At 38.8% G+C, this 20,054-nt stretch overlaps 1 protein-coding gene, 1 non-coding gene and 1 pseudogene across 10 annotated transcripts in view; 2 read left to right on the forward strand and 1 right to left on the reverse strand.

The window, feature by feature from the left end:
* NBEAL1 (neurobeachin like 1) overlaps positions 1 to 20,054 on the forward strand; it is a 210,587-nt gene that overhangs the window by 20,306 nt on the left and 170,227 nt on the right. For 8 of the 9 annotated variants that reach the window (XM_011511658.4, XM_047445554.1, NM_001378026.1 and 5 more), the window contains exons 3-4: positions 6,852 to 6,943; positions 14,901 to 15,062. In XM_011511658.4, coding sequence (XP_011509960.1) covers positions 6,852 to 6,943; positions 14,901 to 15,062 — 254 coding nt within the window. Of the gene's footprint in view, positions 1 to 6,851; positions 6,944 to 14,900; positions 15,063 to 20,054 lie in introns of those variants that run through there. The other variant, XM_011511660.3, reaches the window with a different exon arrangement.
* RPL7P14 (ribosomal protein L7 pseudogene 14) lies at positions 5,192 to 5,806 on the forward strand (annotated as a pseudogene).
* Positions 17,372 to 17,505, reverse strand: LOC124900525 (small nucleolar RNA SNORA1). Its single transcript, XR_007088717.1, has one exon. It is a non-coding gene; the product is annotated as a small nucleolar RNA SNORA1 (small nucleolar RNA).

Raw genomic sequence — 20,054 nt, forward strand, 5'->3', positions numbered from 1 at the left:
CTTTTAAAATTCAATTCATATTTAAGTTAGGAACTGCCCATCATATGATTGAAATATTTATATGCATCTAGAATTTGATAGTTTTAAAACTTGAGTGAGTACTGTAATCCAAATATCATTGCATAGAGCAAATAAAGCATTCCCCCTATTCTTAGCTGTAACCCTGTCTCTGAAGAACTAGGGGAAATTGCATGGATGATTTAATTCCATTATCCTCTCTAAAGCCTCCCAAAAGGTTAGTGGGTGTTATGAGAAGCTAAACGTCTGCTGTGCTTTAACATAATTTAAGTAATCACATGTGACTAGTGGCCCCCATATTGTATAGCACAGCTCTAAGTTAAGTGTTCAGACTTCATCCTTTACTAATAGGGAGCCATTGAAAGTATTTGGGCAGGACAGAGGAGATGACTGGATTTAAATTTAACACATCTCATTAGTAGGTGTGTATAGGTGGGAGAAATTGTAGGGAGCTACCTGACAGTCCAAAAAGAAAGATTATTTGTCTTAATTAATGGCAGATGGGACGATTGGATGAATATTTAAGTACAGAATCAATGAACTTGATTTTGTAATTATTTTGCTTATTTTCTTATATTGGATCATGACCAACTTGATGGCAAAGTCTATATTATAATAATTGTGGTAACCAACATGTTTTGAGCATTTGCTAAATGGAAGGCACTGTTGAGTGCCTTTTGTGCATTATCTCATTTAGTGCTCTCAACAGCCCATGAGGTAGGAAGTATTATCTTCATTTTACAGACAAAGAACAGCTCAGAGAGGTGAAGTAACCTGTTGAAAGTCACACAGATAGTAAATGCAAAGAGATTTGAGATGAAAAGAGTAAAATTTAAAATCAGGTGGCAAAGGAGATCATGAAACATTTAGATATGTGTAGCATAGAACATTACTGTTTTGTGGGAGTTTCCTGATTTGGGCACATAGTAGATTATGAAAATAATTTTTATTGATACTTATTGAGCATATACTATGTGCTAGGCATTCTAAGCCCTTGATATGGGTTAAATTATTTAATTTTCACAACAGTCCTGTGAGACATCATTATGTTCATTTTTATAGAGGAAGAAAGTCATGTACAAACATAGGCTGACTTGTTTAAGAAAGTAACAGAGCAGGGATTAGAGTCCAAGTAATTTGGCTCCAGCACTCCTGCACTACTTAATACATTTGTGTGTTGTGTTAGTAAATAAATACTGTACAAATGGCAAGATAGGCCAGACGCTGGTGTTTCAATAAAGCAAACTCATCTTAACCATGAAAGTGACTCAGCTTGAGATTTAATTAATATTGTTTCTATGTGTGAGGATCTTTCTTTTTATGGCCTTTGGCAGTAAAATGATCTAAGCGTTTTTATAGAATGTATAAAATGTGGCTTTTTTTGTGTGTTAAATACTTTATGACCTTGAGTTTACTGATCCTGACGAAGCTCCTCTTTTCCTCTTTTTGCCCACTAAAGATCCATTTTATTTATGCACACAGTTAAAGCCATTGTAGTGTAGTGGAAACAGCACATATTGGATTTGTGTGTTCTTACATTTTAATTCCAGCATTATCCATTACTAGCTGTGTGACTGGACAAATTATACATCTTTAGAACTTCCCTTTTCTAACCTGTAAAATGAGGGAAATTAAATCTTCTTCATTGGATAGTTGTAAGGAGTAAATGGGATGATATATTTTTTAAATGCCTGCTGTACTACTTACTGTATGGCAGATATTCAAAAAATTGTGAGTGCTTTACTTCTTAATAAATGAAACACCTCCAAATTTAAGTACTTTTTTTTCCCTTATAGTTGCTCAATTTTGTAGGTGAACTCTGTGCTTGCCAAACACTTGGTAGCCAGACCTTTAGAATTTGAACCAGATACTATAGAGTTCCTAAATAAAATATGCATTAGAAGAGAAATGCATTAATTCTTTATGGTGTTGTGTGACTGTTTTGTGTCTTTTGCCAAGAGGTAATTCTCTGCTGTATCGGAGAGGAACAATGGTAAGGAAAACTTCAGCTTCTTGTGTTTCTGGAGTTCTATCTTGAATGGATAAATGAATGAATAAATGAATCACATTCTAGTTGGACATGTAAAAAGCAAGTAGTGAAACTTGAGAAAATTCTCACAAAAGGTAGCTCTTTTTCTAAAATATTTCCTTCTGATTTCTCAGTAATGATGTAGAGAGCTGTAGTTTACAAGCTGATTTTAGAACCGTATATTAATAGAAAAAGCAAATAGACAAAAGGTCAGTAGTCCCTGCATATTCTGGGAACATTCTTTTAGATTTTGATTTGTAGTGTAATGCTTTTATTTCGGGGAAATAAGTTCCTTGAGTTTCCTTTAACCAAGAGCAGTACTTAAGCAATGATATTTAATGACTACATAACTGAGACTCCTAAATCACATATTGAAATCTGACTGACATAAGGAAGTATTGAGGAGGCAAAGGAAAAGAATTGAGCATCATTTTTTGAGATACAGTTAATGTACTTAAAAATTTCCAAGGGATCATAGTTTTTTTTCAATTCAGCTTTATTGAAATGTCACAAAGCATTAAAATGCACAGATTTTAAGTGTCAAATGTGATGAATTTTGATACATGCAAACATTTGTATAAACACTACTTTAGTCAAGAAATGGAAAATTTCCATCACCTGGGAAAGTTCCCTCTGTGCCCCTTTGCAGTCGGTCCTCCCAGAGGCAGCCATGTTGTCTAATTTCTGTTACCATAGACTGCTCTAGAACTTCATATAAGTGATATCAGGCTGGTCGAGGTGGCTCAACCTATAATCCCAGCACTTTGGGAGGCCAAGGTGGGAGGATCACTTGAGGCCAGGAGTTTGAGACCGTAACAAGACCCTGTCTCTACAAAAAATACAAAAATACAAAAAATACAGCATGATAGCTGTAATCCCAGCTACTTGGAATGCTGAGGCAGGAGGATTCCTTGGGCTCAGGAGTTTGAGGCCATAGTGAACCGTGATTGTGCCACTGCACTCCGGCCTGGGTAACAGAGTGAGAACCTGTCTCATAAATAAATAAATACACAAATAAATACATGAATAAATAAATAAGTAGTATGTGCTTTGATGCCTAACATCTTTTGCTCAATAGATTTTTGAAAAATTTTTTTGTCATTGTAAGTATCAATAGTTCATTTTTATTCCTGGAATAGTATTCCATTGTACGAATGTACAACGATTTGTTTATCCGTTAACTTGATAGAATTTTTGTTTTCAGCTTTGGGCTATTATAAACAAAGTTTCCATAAACATTTTTGTACAAGTGTTTTTGTGGATATTTGTATTCATTTATCTGGGAGAGGAATGGCTGGGCTGTTTGATATGTGTATATTTAACTTAAACTTTTCTAAGTGGTGATCCTATTTCATACTGCCACCAGTAATGTATGAGAGTTACAGTTACTGCACGTCTTCACTAACATGATATAGTTTTTCTACTTTTAGCCATTCTAGTGGGTATATAATAGTACCTTATTTGGCTTTAATTTGCATTTCTCTGGATAACTAATGATATTGATCACAGATTAGGATGCTGTTTGGCCGTTTGTATATTCCCTTTTGTGAAGTGTCCAAGCTTTTTGCCCATTTTTAAATCGAATTGTCTTTTTGTTATTGATTTGTAGGAGATCTTTATGTTTTTCATACAAGTCCCTGAGAATATTTTCAGCCAGTGTGGTTTGTCTTTCCATTTTCTTTTTTCTTTAGAGTCTCACTCTGGCACCAGAATATAGGTTTCACAAGTGCAGAGATTTTCATCTTTTTGTTTGCTGATGGCATGTGTCACTCAGTGGCACGATCACAGCTCACCCCAGTCTTGACTTCCTGCGCTCAAGAATTCCTCCAATCTCAACCTCCTGAGTAACTGAGACTGCTGGCATGCGCAACCACACCAAGCTAATTTTTTTCTATTTTTTGAAGAGATGGGATCTCACTATGTTGCTTAGGCTGGTCTCGAATTCCTGGGCTCAAGCGATTCTCTCACATCAGCTTCCCAAAGTGCAGGGGTTACAGTCGTGAGCCACTGCACCCAGCCTCCATTTTCTTAATAGTGTCTTTTGATGAGTAGAAGTTTTAAATTTTGATTAATACCAGTTATCTTTTTTTTCTTTTTCAGTTTATGATTTTTTTGTCCTAGCTAAGAAACCTCTGTTTATCCCCAGGTAGAAAAGTGATTCAGTCTAGTGTTGTCTTTCTTGTCTGTCTTGTCTTGTCTTGTCCTGTCTTTTTTCTTTCCTTTCCTTTTCTTTCCTTTCCTTTCCTTTCCTTTCCTTTCCCTTCCCTTCCCTTCCCTTCCCTTCCCTTCCCTTCCCTTCCCTTCCCTTCCCTTCCCTTCCCTTTCGCTTCCCCTCCCCCTGGCCCTCCCCTCCCCCCCTCCCCTCCCCCTCCCCCTCCTTCCCCCTCCCCTCCCCTTCTCCTTCCCTTCCTTTCCCTTCCCTTTCCTGTCCTGTCCTGTCCTGTCTTGTCCTGTCCTTTCCGAGATAGAGTCTTGCTTTGTTGCTCAGGCTGGAGTGCAGTAGCATGATCTCAGCTCACTGCAACCTCCGCCTCCTGGGTTCAAGCAATTCTCATGCCTCAGCCCCCCGACTACAGGCTTGTACCACCACACCTGTCTAATTTTTGTATTTTTAGTAGAGATGGGGTTTCGCCATGTTGGCCAGGCTCGTCTCAAACCCCTGACCTCAGGTGATCCGCCTGCCTCGGGCTCCCAAAGTGCTGGAATTACTGGCATGAGCCACTGTGCCTGGTGTATTTTCTTCTAGAAAATTTGGGTTTCAGTTTTTATGTTTACGTTAATGATCCATTTCCAATTTGATTTCATTTATGCATGTTACTCTTAATTCATGGAACAAATATTTATTGAGCACTGTCTCAGTACCAGCCACTATTTAAGGTACTGGTGTTCATTAGTAAACAAACAAATGAAAATCTCTGCACTTGTGAAACCTGTATTCTGGGGAAGTGACAAAAAATAAACTGATAAGTAAATTATAGATGAAAGGTGATAAAGGACCATGGTGGAGGGAACATGATAAGGTAAGGTAAAGGGGTGGTGAGGTTTCTGGTTTTAAGAAGGAGTAAAAATAGGCCTCATTGAGAATATGTCATTTAAAAAATGACTTGGGGTGGGGTTGTGCATGATCAGTCCTTCAACACTAGAAAGATGGCAGAGCAAGAGCAAAGAAAAATCCATTTGGTTCCAGAAAATCTCCTGAAAAAGAGGAAGGCTTATCAAGCCCTCAAAGCCACTCAGGCAAAGCAGGCACTTTTGGCAAAGAAGGAGCAGAGGAAAGGAAAAAGGCTCAGGTTTAAGCGACTGGAATCATTCCTACATGATTCCTGGAGGCAGAAATGTGACAAGGTGCATCTCAGACGACTAGAAATGAGACCTCATGCCTTGGAATTGCCAGATAAACATGCCATGGCCTTTGTTGTACACATCAAAAGGATTAATGGCATGAGTTTACCGGTGGAGAGAACCGTTGTAAGACTTCGCCTGAAGAAAATGTTTAGTGGTGTCTTTGTAAAAGTCAACCCCCAGAACCTAAAAATGCTGCTTATAGTGGAAACTTATGTGACCTGGGGATTTCCAAATCTGAAGTCTGTGCGGGAACTCACTTGGAAACATGAACAAGCCAAGGTCAAGAATAAGACCATCCCTCTGACAGACAACACAGTGATTGAGGAGCACCTGGAGAAGTTTGGTGACATTTGCTTGGAAGACCTCATTCATGAAATTGCCTTCCCAGGGAAGTATTTCCAGGAGATCTCATAGTTCTTGCTCCCTTTCCACCTTTTGGTGACCCATCATGCTCAGGCTGGAGTGCAGTAGTGTGATCTTGGCTCACTGCAACCTCCACTATATACCAAAAATATAGTGGGCTTCCTCAAGGAGATGGGCTCACATGGCTATCGGGGTGAATGCATCAGTCAGCTCATCTGCCAGCTGAACAAGACCCAGAATATTTGAAAGCACAGTGCAGTGGAAGCATGTGTTTTTGTTTTGGGGGGAATTATCATCAGGTATCTTCAGAGAAGATTATTCCCTGCCTTATCTTCAAAAATCGGAAAGGAAGGGTTAAAATATAGTGGCTTATGTTCATGGCAAGCACCTCTCATCACAGTCCAGTTCTAAGGAAAAAGTCCAGTGTTTTCTGTATTGGCTGCTGCCTCGTCAGAAATCAGCACATGCCATGGAAGGAGTCCTGCTTTGTTGCATTTTCTATCCTAGGGTTTATTGTTGGTAAATGAGTAACTCAAGCATTTGTACAAGGTTCCCTAAGACTCCCACAGCAATGGACCAAGCCCAGGGACATAATTTAATCTGGAGAGTCCTGGGGCCTTGTTTTGAAAAGACTTGAAATACACATAAGAAGAAAGGCACATAAATAAATGTTCAGTTGTCCAGAAAAAAAAGATGAGGGAGTAGCCATTCAGATACCTGGGAGAAGAGTGTTCTGGGTAGAGAAAACAGCCAGTGCAAAGTCCTTAGGGTGGGAGCATGTCTGGCATGTCCCAGGAAACAGCCAGAAGGCCAGTATAGTACAGGGTAACAGTGGACAAGGTTACAGGGATATGGGAGGGCAAATTGTTTAAACTTTTATAGAACATTGTTAAGATTTTAGCTCTTTGAGTGACATGAGAAGCCATTTGAGAGTTCCATATACTTAATGTACATTTTAAAACAGCACATATGTACTCCTAAATATCACTTGGAGATTTCATAGTATTGATTCTTTAGGTATCTGCTTAATAGGTGTAGAAGCATTTTTTTTTTCCTGATAGGCATACTTAATATTATAATGGTTTTGTTATTTCAGAAAGATCCAGATTACCTGAAGCTGTGGTTGGACACTTTTGTTTCTAGCTATGAACAATTTTTAGACGTTGACTTTGAAAAGCTGCCTACCAGGTATGTAGAAACGCTAATTTGTAACCCCTGGATGAGTTTTTCATTTTTGGCACAAAGATTTCATTGATGACATATTACAAGGATGGCAATTATGTTACCCTCTTGATACTCATGAATAACCCTATTCTCATAGAGACATAGCTAATTGATGACAATAGTCTTTCTTGATGATGCCAGACCTGGCTTCTAGAAAACTCTGCTTCTCTAGGACACTACCAGCTGGTGTTCTGCAACACACTTCATTTCTGACACTAACTACCAGATCCCACAAGTAAAGGGCAAAGTCCTCTGTAAGACTGCCTTCACTTCAGACATTAGCCACTACAAGTCTTCGGGACCACCCATACTTCAGACCAACTGGCTATAAATTCTGGGTTCTCACACCTCCTCCCCACCTCAAGTTCAGTAACTCACTACACTGACTTGAAAAACTCACTGAAAGCACTATACTTGTGATTACGGCTTTATTGTAATGAATACACATAGGACAAGGTGTGGAAGGGTCTGGAGGCAGAGCTTCCACGCCCTCTCCCCATGGAGTCAGGTGTGTTGCCCTTCCTGAACATCAGCGTGTTCACTAATCAGGAAGCTCTTCAAGTTTTGGGTGTCCAGAGTTTTATTGGAGTCTTACTACATAATTGATTATGTGGTTGAGCTCAATTTCCCTCTCCCTAGAAGTATAAGTGGTGGTGAGGCTGAAAGTTCCAGCCCTCTAATTAATGCTTGTTCTTTTTTTTTTTTTTTCTTTTTTTTGAAATGGAGTATTGCTCTGTCGACAGGCTGTGCAGTGGCACGATCTTGGCTCACTATAACCTCCACCTCCTAGGTTCAAGCAATTCTCCTGCCTCAGCCTCCCAAGTAGCTGGGACTACAGGCGCACGCCACCATGCTTGGCTAATTTTTGTATTTTTGGTAGAGACAGGGTTTCACCATGTTGGCCAGTATGATCTCGATCTCTTGACCTCATGATCCACCTGCCTCGGACTCCCAAAGTGCTGGGATTATAGGTGTGAGCCACTGCCCCTTGGCCAATGCTTGGTCTTTCTGATAGGAGCAGCCTTCTATTGAAACTAAGGGCTTACCTTGAGTCACTTCATTTGCATAGACTCAGGTGTAATCCATAGGGCTTATTATGAATAACAAAAGACATTCTGAATATCACTCAGAAAATCTCAAGGGTTTTTGAAGCTATGTGCCAGAAAACTGGGACAAAGACCAGATATATATTCTTTATTATACAATAGGCATGTGAGTTGAAACTTATTTTCATTCCTGGCCTTACAGTAGGACCTTAGAAAACATCTTAGAGGAGGTGAAGTGTTTAGATTTTTAGAAACTAGATTTAAAAATCATAAAATGAAAAAATTCAAATTTATGGAAAAGTACTACTGAAAGTACAAATCTTTCATTTTTCCACCCACCACCACTCCCCAGTTCCATACCATTTCCCAGGCCCACTTTTTAGATAAAGTTTTTTCTATATCTTAAGCTATCTTGAAGGCCTAATAGTTGTTCAGTAAGAGAGATTGGCTGGGGTAAAATGCAAGAAAAATGGAGAGAGGCATCTAGCCACAAAAGGAGTGCCAGTTTAAGATAAGTGTTGGCCGGGTGCAGTGGCTCACATCTGTAGTCCCAGCACTTTGGGAGGTTGAGGCAGGCAGATTACTTGAGCCTAGGAGTTTGAGACCAGCCTGGGCAACATGGCAAAACCCCGTTTCTACAAATAATTAAAAATGGTGGTGTGCACCTGTAGTCCCAGTTACTTGGGAGGCGGAGGTGGGAGGATCAATTTGGCCCAGAGAGTTGAGGCTGTAGTGTGCTGTGATCGTGCCACTGCACTCCAGCCTGGGTGACAGAGTAAAACCCTGTCTCAAAAAAAAAAAAAAAAAGTGTGTTGAGGGGAGAAGGGAGGAATGGATGGTGGTTGATGATGAGAAAGAGTATCTGGAGACTTAAATCTTCAAGGAGGAAAAGTGTTTGCATTTTGGGGATAGAGGTAGGCAATCAGAAGTAGTAAAGGAGAATTGAGTCTAGAGAATCAAATAGGGGCCAGATCATGAAGTACCATGCATGCAATACAAATGGACTTTGACTTTTTTGTTGTTGTTATGGAAAATAAGAGTGCTACTGAAAAATTTTCTGTGTAGAGTGTCTTGATCATCAAGTTTGTGTTTCAAAGTCACTTTAGTGGCTGGTGGAGAGGGTTGAGACTGAAGGCAAGGAGCCCAGTTAAGAGATAATTGTGATAATCCAGAGATGTGGCCAGAGCTTTGGACCAAGATACTGAACTCAAGTAAGGATGTGAGTGTACTAAAAAAAGACTAGTACTTCGTTATTTATAAATCCAGTTTCAGATGTCTTCCTCATTAGACTATTATTCATGTTAGGTTTATAAAGTTTAGGGAGTATTAACTCTTGACCTTTTCTCAAAATAAAATTATTTATTACTACTTTTTTACCAATAAAATAATATTCTTATGATTTGTGCTTAGAAGGACTTCTGTTTTAATAATTTATAGCTTGCTTTAAATCATGGAGCTAAGAATTTTATAGAGTTAGGATTTGAGCCTTTAAATGTTTGGAATATTAGAATGAAGACTTCTAAAGTTTCTAAGGTGCAGTTGTTATCATCCATACATTACCAGTGTCTCTTTTCTTGGGACACTGTTTCCAAAAACATTATGTAGACTTATATTGCCACTATGTTTAAAGTAACATGAAGAACGCCAAGAGCATTGCTGTATTTGTGATATAGTTTGTTTACTTAATACTGTGTTTCATGTTTTTGTCAAAAAACTGAAACATGAATTTAATTTTTCTAATAGAAAACATTCAGATTTTTAAGTACATGCTACGTACAAGATATTTTATGAAATTAGTCAAATCACCTTGAAGATAAGGGACATATGGCTAATCCTCATATAAAGTAAACTGACCTTAGAGAATTCATAATGTAAAGCAGAGATGGCTTTTACTAGAATATAAAGCCTTTGAACTTCAACCTAGGCTGCTTCCTGTAGTAGACACAGACAACCATTGGTTTACAGTAGACATTCAAGAGCCAAACAGAGGAACAGATTTGTGGAATTTGGGAAACTGCAACAAAAGAAGCATAGAATTTTGAACAGTAAAGTCCTAGAGGTGGGAAAATGCTTCCAAGTCCTTAAATGCTCATAACGTTAGGAACATGGCCAAAAATTTCAACTTTATCTATAAGGCATGTTCAACCAAGCCCCAATTTTATAATTAAAAAAAATCTTTCTGAGGAGCTAATTTTTGTCCTCTTTAGTCATTTTTTAGAAGCTGATTTTTTGACTAATTATTTATTAAAACCAATGTGCATATAGAGAATGGGATGACCAAGAACAAGGAAATACTCTTTTAAATAAGTAGGATAAAATACTGGAAAATTGAATGTTTTCTTTCTTGTTGACATATGTTTTTGGAAAAGTGAGGAGGAATAGCTTTGCTTAATTTTGAAAATTGGTTATATCTGAATCTTTGTATATTATTTTTAGATTACCTCTTTTTAGCCCTTTAGCAGGAAAAAAAATATGTATATATGTATGTTAATGAGATATTTTCTGGTACTACCTATAAATAAGAGAATGAAAGAATCCAAAGCTACAAGTGAAATGGTGCCCCAACTAAAATGAAATATTTGTAACTGGGTTATAGAATTTGGCATTCCTTATAATATGCTTTGTGGCTTTTTTCTGTGTAATTTAATTACAATCAGGTATTCATTTTATAAAACACTTTCTTAATTTATGTTGTAGGATGGTTCAGAAAGAAGCTAACTGTATTCTACATGTGACTACTTATGTGCTTCAGATTTTTCTGCATATAGTTAATTAAACAGCCTTTTACTCAGTGTAAAAATACTAGCAATACTTCATATTAAGCATAAGCTGAAGAAGAGGTAACTATAAAGTATAATTGTCATTTAATCATAGGCATGCTTTAGGGAGCTCCATTCAGATTTGGGCATTTTTCTTAAAGGGATAGGAAATTAGTATACAGTGGCTTATGAAAAGATTCTGAAGCTTTAGTGATAGCATGTTTAAAATATATTACATTTTTATAGATCTTTCTATATTTCACAGCTGAAAATGCATATTAACCTTCTGGTTTGAGACCCCTGTAAAATAGGGCAGTTGATACTCAAATTTTATAGGTTGGGCACAATGGCTCAAGCCTATAATCCCAGCCCTTTGGGAGGCCAAGGTGGGAGGCTAGCTTAAGGCCAGGAATTAGAGACCAGCCTGGACAATATAGCAAGACCCTATCTCTTAAAAAAAATTGCAGATTACAGAACTAGAAACTTTTTTTTTTTAAGGAACAACAGTAGATATTTATTTATTTATTTATTTATTTGAGACAGAGTCTCACTCTGTTGCCCAGGCGGGAGTGCAGTGGCCCGATCTTGGCTCACTGCAACCTCTGCCTCCCGGGTTCACGCCATTCTCCTGCCTCAGCCTCTCGAGTAGCCAGGACTACAGGCACCCGCCACCACGCTCGGCTAATTTTTTTTGTATTTTTAGTAGACATGGGGTTTCACCGTGTTAGCCAAGATGGTCTCCATCTCCTGACCTCAGGTGATCCACCCGCCTCGGCCTCCCAAAGTACTGGGACTACAGGCATGAGCCACCGCACCCGGCCAAGAACAACAGTAGATATTTACTGTTCACCGTTCTGGAAGCTGGGAAGTCTAAGATTAAGACACCAGCAGATTTGGTGTCTGGTGAGGGCCTGTCTTCTGTTTCTTGCTGTGTCCTTACACAGCAGAGGGATGAATACTGTGTCCTCACACAGAGGAAGGGGCAGGGCAACTCCCTTCACTCTGTTTATAAAGACAGTAATCCCATCCATGAGGGCAGAGCCTTCTTGGCTTAATCACTTCCTAAATGCCTCACCTCTTCATACTATTGCATTGGGAGTTAGTTTACAACATATGAAATTTGGGGGAATACCAGCATTCAGACCACAGCAGTTCACATTGAAAGCTCTACCATTCCTTAAAAAGTAGACATATAGGTCGGATGCAGTGGCTTCTGCCTGTAATGCCAGCACTTTGGGAGGCCGAGGCGGGCAGATCATCTGAGGTCGGGATTTCGAGACCTGCCTGACCAACATGGAGAAACCCCGTCTCTACTACAAATACAAAATTAGTGGGCGTGGTGGCAAGGCTGACCAACATGGAGAAAACCCGTCTCTACTAAAAATACAAAATTAGCGGGCGTGGTGGCACATGCCTGTAATCCCAGCTACTCAGAAGACTGAGGCAGCAGAATCGCTTGAATGCGGGAGGCCAAGGTTGCAGTGAGCTGAGATTGCGCCATTGCACCTCCAGCCTGGGCAACAAGAGCGAAACTCCATCTCAAAAAAAAAAAAACAAACACATACAAGTAGACATGTAGTTGCCTGTAGAAGTATTGGCAACCACCTGTCATGTACTGGCAACCTACATGAGAATGGGTATTTTTTCATTCATGTTTAAAATTTTATTTTGTATCTGTTTTATTAAAATATTAACAGAATATTAAATATTGATAGAACATACTACTTGTATGATAACTTCCATTTTTTAGATGAACTCTAAGATGTTGGCCCCTTCAGTTGTGTTTCTACTGTCCTTCTCCTTAGGTCAATGTCTTCAGGTCTTCCACAAGTCTTTTGGACTTGCCAGGATATTTCCTATCTCTCATTTCCCTGGAAATATTAACCTCTCTCTGCAGGTCCCTCTGCTGTAATGCCTTCTGTGGCAGCACAGGAATTGTCTACCCATTCAGGTTAGGAGCAATTTTTAAGTATGGTGTAAAAATCTCTTTGAACACTCTATAATAGTGAGAGAAGTTGCAGTCACAATTTTCTATTTCTTTCTATTTTTTTTTTTTTTTTTTTTGAGAGATGGTCTTTCTGTCTCAACCAGGCTGAAGTGCAGTGGCATGATCATAGCTCACTGCAACCTCGAACTCTTGGGCTCAAGCGATCCTCCTGCCTTAGCCTCCAAGTAGCTGGGACCACAGACATATACCACTATACCTGGTTAATTTTTTTTTTTCCAGTGGAGATGAAGTCTTGCTATGTTGCCCAGCCAATTTTCTATTTCTTAGCTGATTTGGCATAGGTTTCAACCAGGTATAGACCTCAGGCCAGAAACAGGTTTATAAGAAATACTGCATTTTTTTCATTATCTGTGACTCAACATGCCTTGATTCTAAGCCCACATCTTTCAGGCTGGTAAGATATCCATGCTTTGAGCTGGGCACGGTGGCTTACTTTGGAGGGCCAAGGTGGGTGGATCACGAGGTCAGGAGATTGAGACCATCCTGGCCAACATGGTGAAACCCCGTCTCTACGAAAAATACAAAAATTAGGTGGGTGTGGTGGCACGTGCCTGTAATCCCAGCTACTCGGGAGCCTGAGGCATGAGAATCCCTTGAATCTAGGAGGCGGAGGTTGCAGTGAGCTGAGATCGCGCCACTGCACTCCAGCCTGGCAACACAGCGAGACTCCATCTCAAAAAAAAAAAAAAAAAAAATCCATGCTTTGTTATGCCTTGGATTTTCTGCCATCCCCAGAGATGATAGGGTTTTATTTAAGCCACTGATTTTTGATGGGGAGGGAGGGAGGTATTCTCTGGTTTTGGTTGTGTGACCACAGGAGTGACCTTCCATACATCTCTTGTGCTCATCTGCGTAGCCCACTTAAAACCATCTCCTCTCGGAACACAGATTTATTATTTCATGAGGTTGGGTACTTCAGCGTCCATAGGGAACTTCAAAGGTTAAATGATCAGCTCTATGTTACAGAGGTGAGATTTAGTACCCATGTCTTTAGACGTTGAATCCAGGTATGGGTTTTTATTATGAAAGAAACACCAGAGGAACCACTCATGTCTGATGTTGGCATTTGCCCTTAAAGAACCATATAGTCTTACATAGAAACCATTTGTCACAAAATGTTGATATATTACTTTTTAAAGTCTTCTGTTGATGCCCATGCTCAGAGCTCTACATTTCCTTTTTTTTTTTTTTTAATACCCTTTTATCTCTCTTCTTTCCTTTTACTGGTTATCTTTTCTCCCTCTTCTGATCACATGGCTTGGGGAGTCTATACTAAAACAATGATGTTTAGTAAAGCAGTTGACAAATTTTTTTTTTTTGAGACAGAGTCTCACTCTGTCACCCAGGCTGGAGTACAGTGGCACAATCTTGGCTCACTGCAACCTCTGCCTCCCGGGTTCAAGCGATTCTTCTGCCTCAGCCTCCTGAGTAGCTGGGACGAATTTATAAATGTGGGAAATGTGATAACCTATAGGATAATTACACTTCATTTGGTAAAATGATACAATGAAACCAGCTAATTTTTTGTATTTTTAGTAGAGATGGGGTTCACCATGTTGACCAGGCTGGTCTCGAGCTCCTAACCTCGTGATCCACCCACCTCGGCCTCCAAAAGTGCTGGGATTACAGGCGTGAGCCACTGCACCTGGCCAACAGTTGACATATTAAACTAGTTATGTAGATACTTCATTTTTACTTTACAGTTATTGTTTCTTTTAGAAATGGTATGCACACTGCTATACACAGTATTTAGTATACATAGTATTTTTAAGTGGAACATAATTTATTCTAAGTATTTTCATTAAAAATAGTACAATTGAAGATATCAAATAGTCTGTCTCTCTCTTTAGTAAGCCTCTTCTGAAATAAGAAAAACCACTCTGCTCTAATAATCTTCTAGTTACTAATCTTCTAGTTACTTCTAGTTACTAATCTAGTTACTAATCATCATGTGCTACATCTGTGTTGCAGACGAGAAGGCACAGAGTATCTGGAATAAATAAAAGAGCTTCTTTAGGATTTGGGCTGAAAATGAAGTTCATTTAAATGCCAGAGATTTTCTTCTTGTATTTCAACAGGCTTCTTATTTTTTTCCCTTTCTGTTGTAGGGTAGATGATATGCCTCCAGGAATATCTCTGCTTCCTGATAATATTCTGCAGGTTCTGAGGATCCAGCTTCTACAGTGTGTTCAGAAAATGGCAGATGGGTTAGAGGAACAACAGCAAGCCTTGTCAATTTTGCTTGTCAAGTTCTTCATTATTCTTTGCAGGTATCTAGTAGAAAAAATAAGCTAGTTTTCACTCATAGGTGGGAGTTGAACAATGAGAACACATGGAGATGAGGAGGGGAACATCACACACTGGGCCTATTGGTGGGTAGGGTGCTAGGAGAGGGATAACATTAGGAGAAATACCTAATGTAGATGATGGGTTGAAGGATGCAGCAAACCACTATGGCATGTGTATACCTATGTAACAAACCTGCACATTCTGCATACATATCCCAGAACTTTAATAAATTAAGTAAATAAAAAAGAAAAAAAGAAAAAATAAGCTAATTATCTGTTTTAATATAATTGTTACATTACCAAAATAATAATTAATTTTGTTTATTATTAGTGATGTTTGTAGTTGATATGGAGCTTTAAAGAGTAAGTGCACTTTTTGGAATAGGCTTGTGGTTTGTTAGTATGTTGGAAATCCTTTTAGTTACTATACCTAGTTATAGCAACATTAGCCAACATTTAAAAAAATTATATTAAAGTCAATGACAGTTTTTCTTCAGCAAGAAATTACTGTACCAGTATTTTTCATATGGTTCTCACCTGTAAATGTATATGCATTTTTATTACTCTGTGTTATTATCTGTGAAAATAAATCATTCAGATATTTCATTTTATTATTTTATCAAATAAAGTATAATTATCCTGTAGGTTATCATATTTCCCACATTTATAAATTAGGTCTGTGGTGCTTACATTTTGGTATGCATGAATAACAACAAGGAAACTTAGTAGAATATAGAGCTTGAGCCTTGCTTATGGAAATTCTGTTTCAAAAGGGCTCAAAATCTGGATTTTTCAGGCATTCCACATTCATCTACATGTAAGAATTCAAGAACCATTAGTTTAGGGGCACTGCATATAAGAATTCAAGAACCATTGGTTTAGGGGCATCTGCATATAAGAATTCAAGAACCATTGGTTTATTGGTTCATATTCCTCTTGAAACCTATCTTCATTTCGGAAGCTACATTCTATAGCTTTAAATCTATTTTCTTTTTGGAAGCCACTTTCTAAAACATACATTATTTGTTTTATAAATATTTTATAATTAATTAGTGGATGAATAGGGACTTAATTTACCTCTTAGTCACCTTTGGCTTAATTTCTCATTGCCTTTGCAGGAATTATGGAATGATTGATCAATAATTGCTAAAACATTTCACCCCTAATTTATGCTCTCCCAGAGCCTTAGACATGTTTTTATTTGTGTGTTTTTCCTCATCCTTAAAATTTGGAAAAATAATACAAGAATTATAAGGGTTGAAGTATGCAGCCAGGTACAGTTGCTCACACCTGTAATCCCAGCACTTTGGAAGGCCGAGGAGGTGGATCGCTTGAGGTCAGGAGTTTGAGACCAGCTTGGCCAACATGGTGAAACCCTGTCTCTCCAAAAAAATGTAAAAATTAGCCAGGCATGGTGGCGGGTGCCTGAAATCCCAGCTACTCAGGAGGCTGAGAGGCAGGAAAATTGCTTGAACCTGGGAGGCGGAGGTTTCAGTGTGCCGAGATCATGCCATTGCACTTCAGCCTGGGTGACGGAGCGAGACTCTTCTCAAAAAAAAAAAAAAGGTTAAAGGGAAAGGGTTTATTCAGGTAGTAAGACATAAGTTGACCTCTGATAATTTGCTATATTTTCCTGCTAGCTACCTACTACAATTTTGCTGAAATCAAAAATCCTACAGATATTTGTTTTCAATTCATTATGTTTAGATTTTGGTAATAGAGGGAAGCACTGAAATGCTCAACAAATTTTTTGGTTGAAAAAAAATTTTTTGGGTAGTAGATAGTTTCTTATGATAAATTTAATGTTCAATAGCTACCAGTCACAGAACATGTTTCTATTTCCAGAGACCTCACTTTACTTTTTTAAAGCTCCATTTAAAAACTTTAATAAACTTTATGTTTTAGAGCTGTTTTTATATAAATCTAGAATTCCCACATACTCCTTTCCCATACCCCTCAGTTTCCTCTATTACTAATATCTTACATTAGTATGATACATTTATTACAGCTGATGAACCAGTATTTATACATTATTAACTAAGGTCCATGTGCACATTAGGGTTCACTATTTGTGTTGTATAGTTTCATGGGTTTTGACTAATTTATGTTGTCATATATAAATTTGACATAATCATCATTATAGGATCATATAGAATAGTTTTCCTACACTAAAAATGGCCTGTGCTCCACCTATTCATTCCTTACACACCCACACACACACACCCCATACCCCTGCCCGCCCCAACCTCTGTCAACCACTGATTTTTTTTTTTTTTAATCATAAGCATACCAAATGTTACAGGTTTCATTGTCACCACTGCAATATGTGTACTGTGATGGAAGCATAGCCTGTGTCTCAATTTAGCCACATAAAGTTTTTTGGACACCATGATCAGCAGTACCCATTCTCATCTAGAATGAGGCTTAACCACTGATATTTTAATGGTGTCTTTAGTTTTGCTTTCACCAGGGTGTCATAATTAGAATCATACAGAATGTAGCCTTTTCAGACTGGCTTCCTTCACTTAGCAGTATGCATTTAAGGGTCCTCCATGACTTTTCTTGTTTGTTTGTTTGTTTGTTAGACAAGGTCTTACTCTGTCACCCATGCTGGAGTGCAGCTGCTTGATAAGGGCTCATTGCATCCTTGACCTCCTGGGCTCAATTTATCTTTCCACCTTAGCCTCTGAGTAGCTGAGACTACAGGTACATGCCACCATGCCCAGTTATTTATTTATTTATTTATTTATTTATTTATTTATTTGTATTTTTTGTAGAGAAGGGGTTTCGCCATGTTGCTCAAGCTGGTCTCAAACTCCAGGGCTCAAGTGATCCTTCCGCCTTGACCTCCCAAGGTGCTGGGACTATAGGCATGAACCACCGCACCTGGTCCTCCTCCATGTGTTTGTAGCTTGATAGCCCATTTCTTTTGTCACAGAATAATACTCTACTTATGGACATACCACAGTTTGTTTATTCATTCCCCTGTTGCAGGACATCTTGGTTACTTCCAGTTTTTGGAAGTTATGAATAAAGCTGCTAAAAACATCTGTGTGCAGATTTTGCATACACATAAGTTTTCAACTCATTTAGGTAAATGCTGAAGAGTATAATTGCTGTATCATACGGTAAGCTTATGTTTAGCTTTGTCAGTGCAAAATTGTCTACCAAAATGGCTATACCATTTTGCATTCCCACCAACAATGAATGAGAGTTCCTGTTGCTCTTCATGGTTTCCAATACTGGATTATACTATTCTTTTATATTTTAGCCATTTTAATAGGTGTTTGTAGTATCTTATTGTTTTAATTTGCAATTCCCTAATGACAAAAGATGTTCACCATCTTTTCATATGGCTATATACCATTTGTATCTTCTTTGGTGAAGTGTCTATTTAGATCTTTTGCTCATTTTTAAAAATTGAATTGTTTTCTTATTAAGTTTTAAGACATCTTTGACTGTTTTGAGATGTAATTCCTTTATCAGGTATCTGGGTTTTTTTTGTCGTCGTCGTTGTTGTTGTTGTTTTGAGACAGGGTTTTACTCTGTTGCCCAGGTGCAGTGAGTTCTGTTGCCTGAGGTGCGGTGGCATGATCACAGCTCACTGCAGCCTCAAGTTATCCTCCTTCTTCAGTTCCCCCCACCCCAAGTAAGTGGGACCGCAGGTACATGCCACCATGCTTGGCTGATTTTTTTTAATTTTTTGTAGAGATGAGGTCTCACTATATTGCCCAGGCTGGTCTCTAACTCCTGGGCTCAAGCGATCCTCCCACCTCACCCTCCCAAAATATTGGGATTACAGGCATGAGCCACTGTGTCTGGCAGGTATCTGGTCTGCAAATATTTTTTGATAGTCTGCGACTTGCCTTTTTATTCTTTTAATAGTATTTTGTAAAACAGAAGCTTTTAATTTTAATGAAGTTTGACTTAACTTTTTTCTTTCATGGATTATGCTTTTTTAAAAAAATTGAGACAGAGTCTTGCTCCATCTGTACACTCCAGGCTGGAGTGTACTGACATGATCATGGCTCACTACAGCCTCAACCTCCCTGGCTCAAGTGATCCTCCCACCTCAGCCTCAGCCTCCTGAGTAGCTGGGAGGCACACCACCATGCCTGGCCAATTGTTTTAAAAAAATTATTGTCCTGCTGGCGGAGTGCAGTGGCTCACGCCTGTAATCCCAGCACTTTGGGAGGCTGAGGCGAGTGGATCACTTGAGGTCAGGAGTTCCGGACCAGCCTGGCCAACATGGTGAAACCCCGTCTCTACTAAAAATACAAAAATTAGCTGGGAATGGTGCCACATGCTTGTAATCCCAGCTACTTGGGAGGCTGAGGTGGAAGAATCGCTTTAACCCAGGAGGCGGAGGTTGCAGTGAGCCGAGATCACGCCACTGCACTCCAGCCTGGGTGACAGAGCAAGACTCAGTCTCAAAAAAAAAAAAAAAATTTTTTTTTTCAAATTATTGTCTTGCTACGTTGCCCAGGCTAAGTCTCGAATTCCTGGATTCATGCAGTCCTCCTGCCTCTGCCTCTCAAAGTGTTGGGATTACAGACGGGCATGAGCCACTACACCCAACCTCTTTTTCTTTTTCTTTTTCTTTTGCTCAAATTGTGGGTCTGTTTCTTTTGTGTATTGTTTCTTTTGATTTTCAAACTTGTGTCGCCTTCTCATGTGAGTTGTTATTTTTGAGTAAGTGTTGGTTATTGTTTTTGAAAAATCATAGAGATACTTTTAGGATAATATTGTCTTTCTTCTCAGTTAATATACATTTGTTTTTGGAAAAGTAGGATCCCTCTAATACAGTGAATGATTGAGCTGACTTGGACTTAGTCTCTGTGACTACTAATCTATTTTCATTTCACCTTTACTTCTTGAGTGTTGTCTTTTGGGATCTTAAACCACAGCCTTAGAGACAGTCATTTTCAGGCTCTGAATTCTAGTTTTTGTCCCTTTTCAACATTGTGAGACTGT

The sequence above is a fragment of the Homo sapiens genome, chromosome 2, assembly GCF_000001405.40.
Source record: "Homo sapiens chromosome 2, GRCh38.p14 Primary Assembly".
Lineage (NCBI taxonomy): Eukaryota > Metazoa > Chordata > Mammalia > Primates > Hominidae > Homo > Homo sapiens.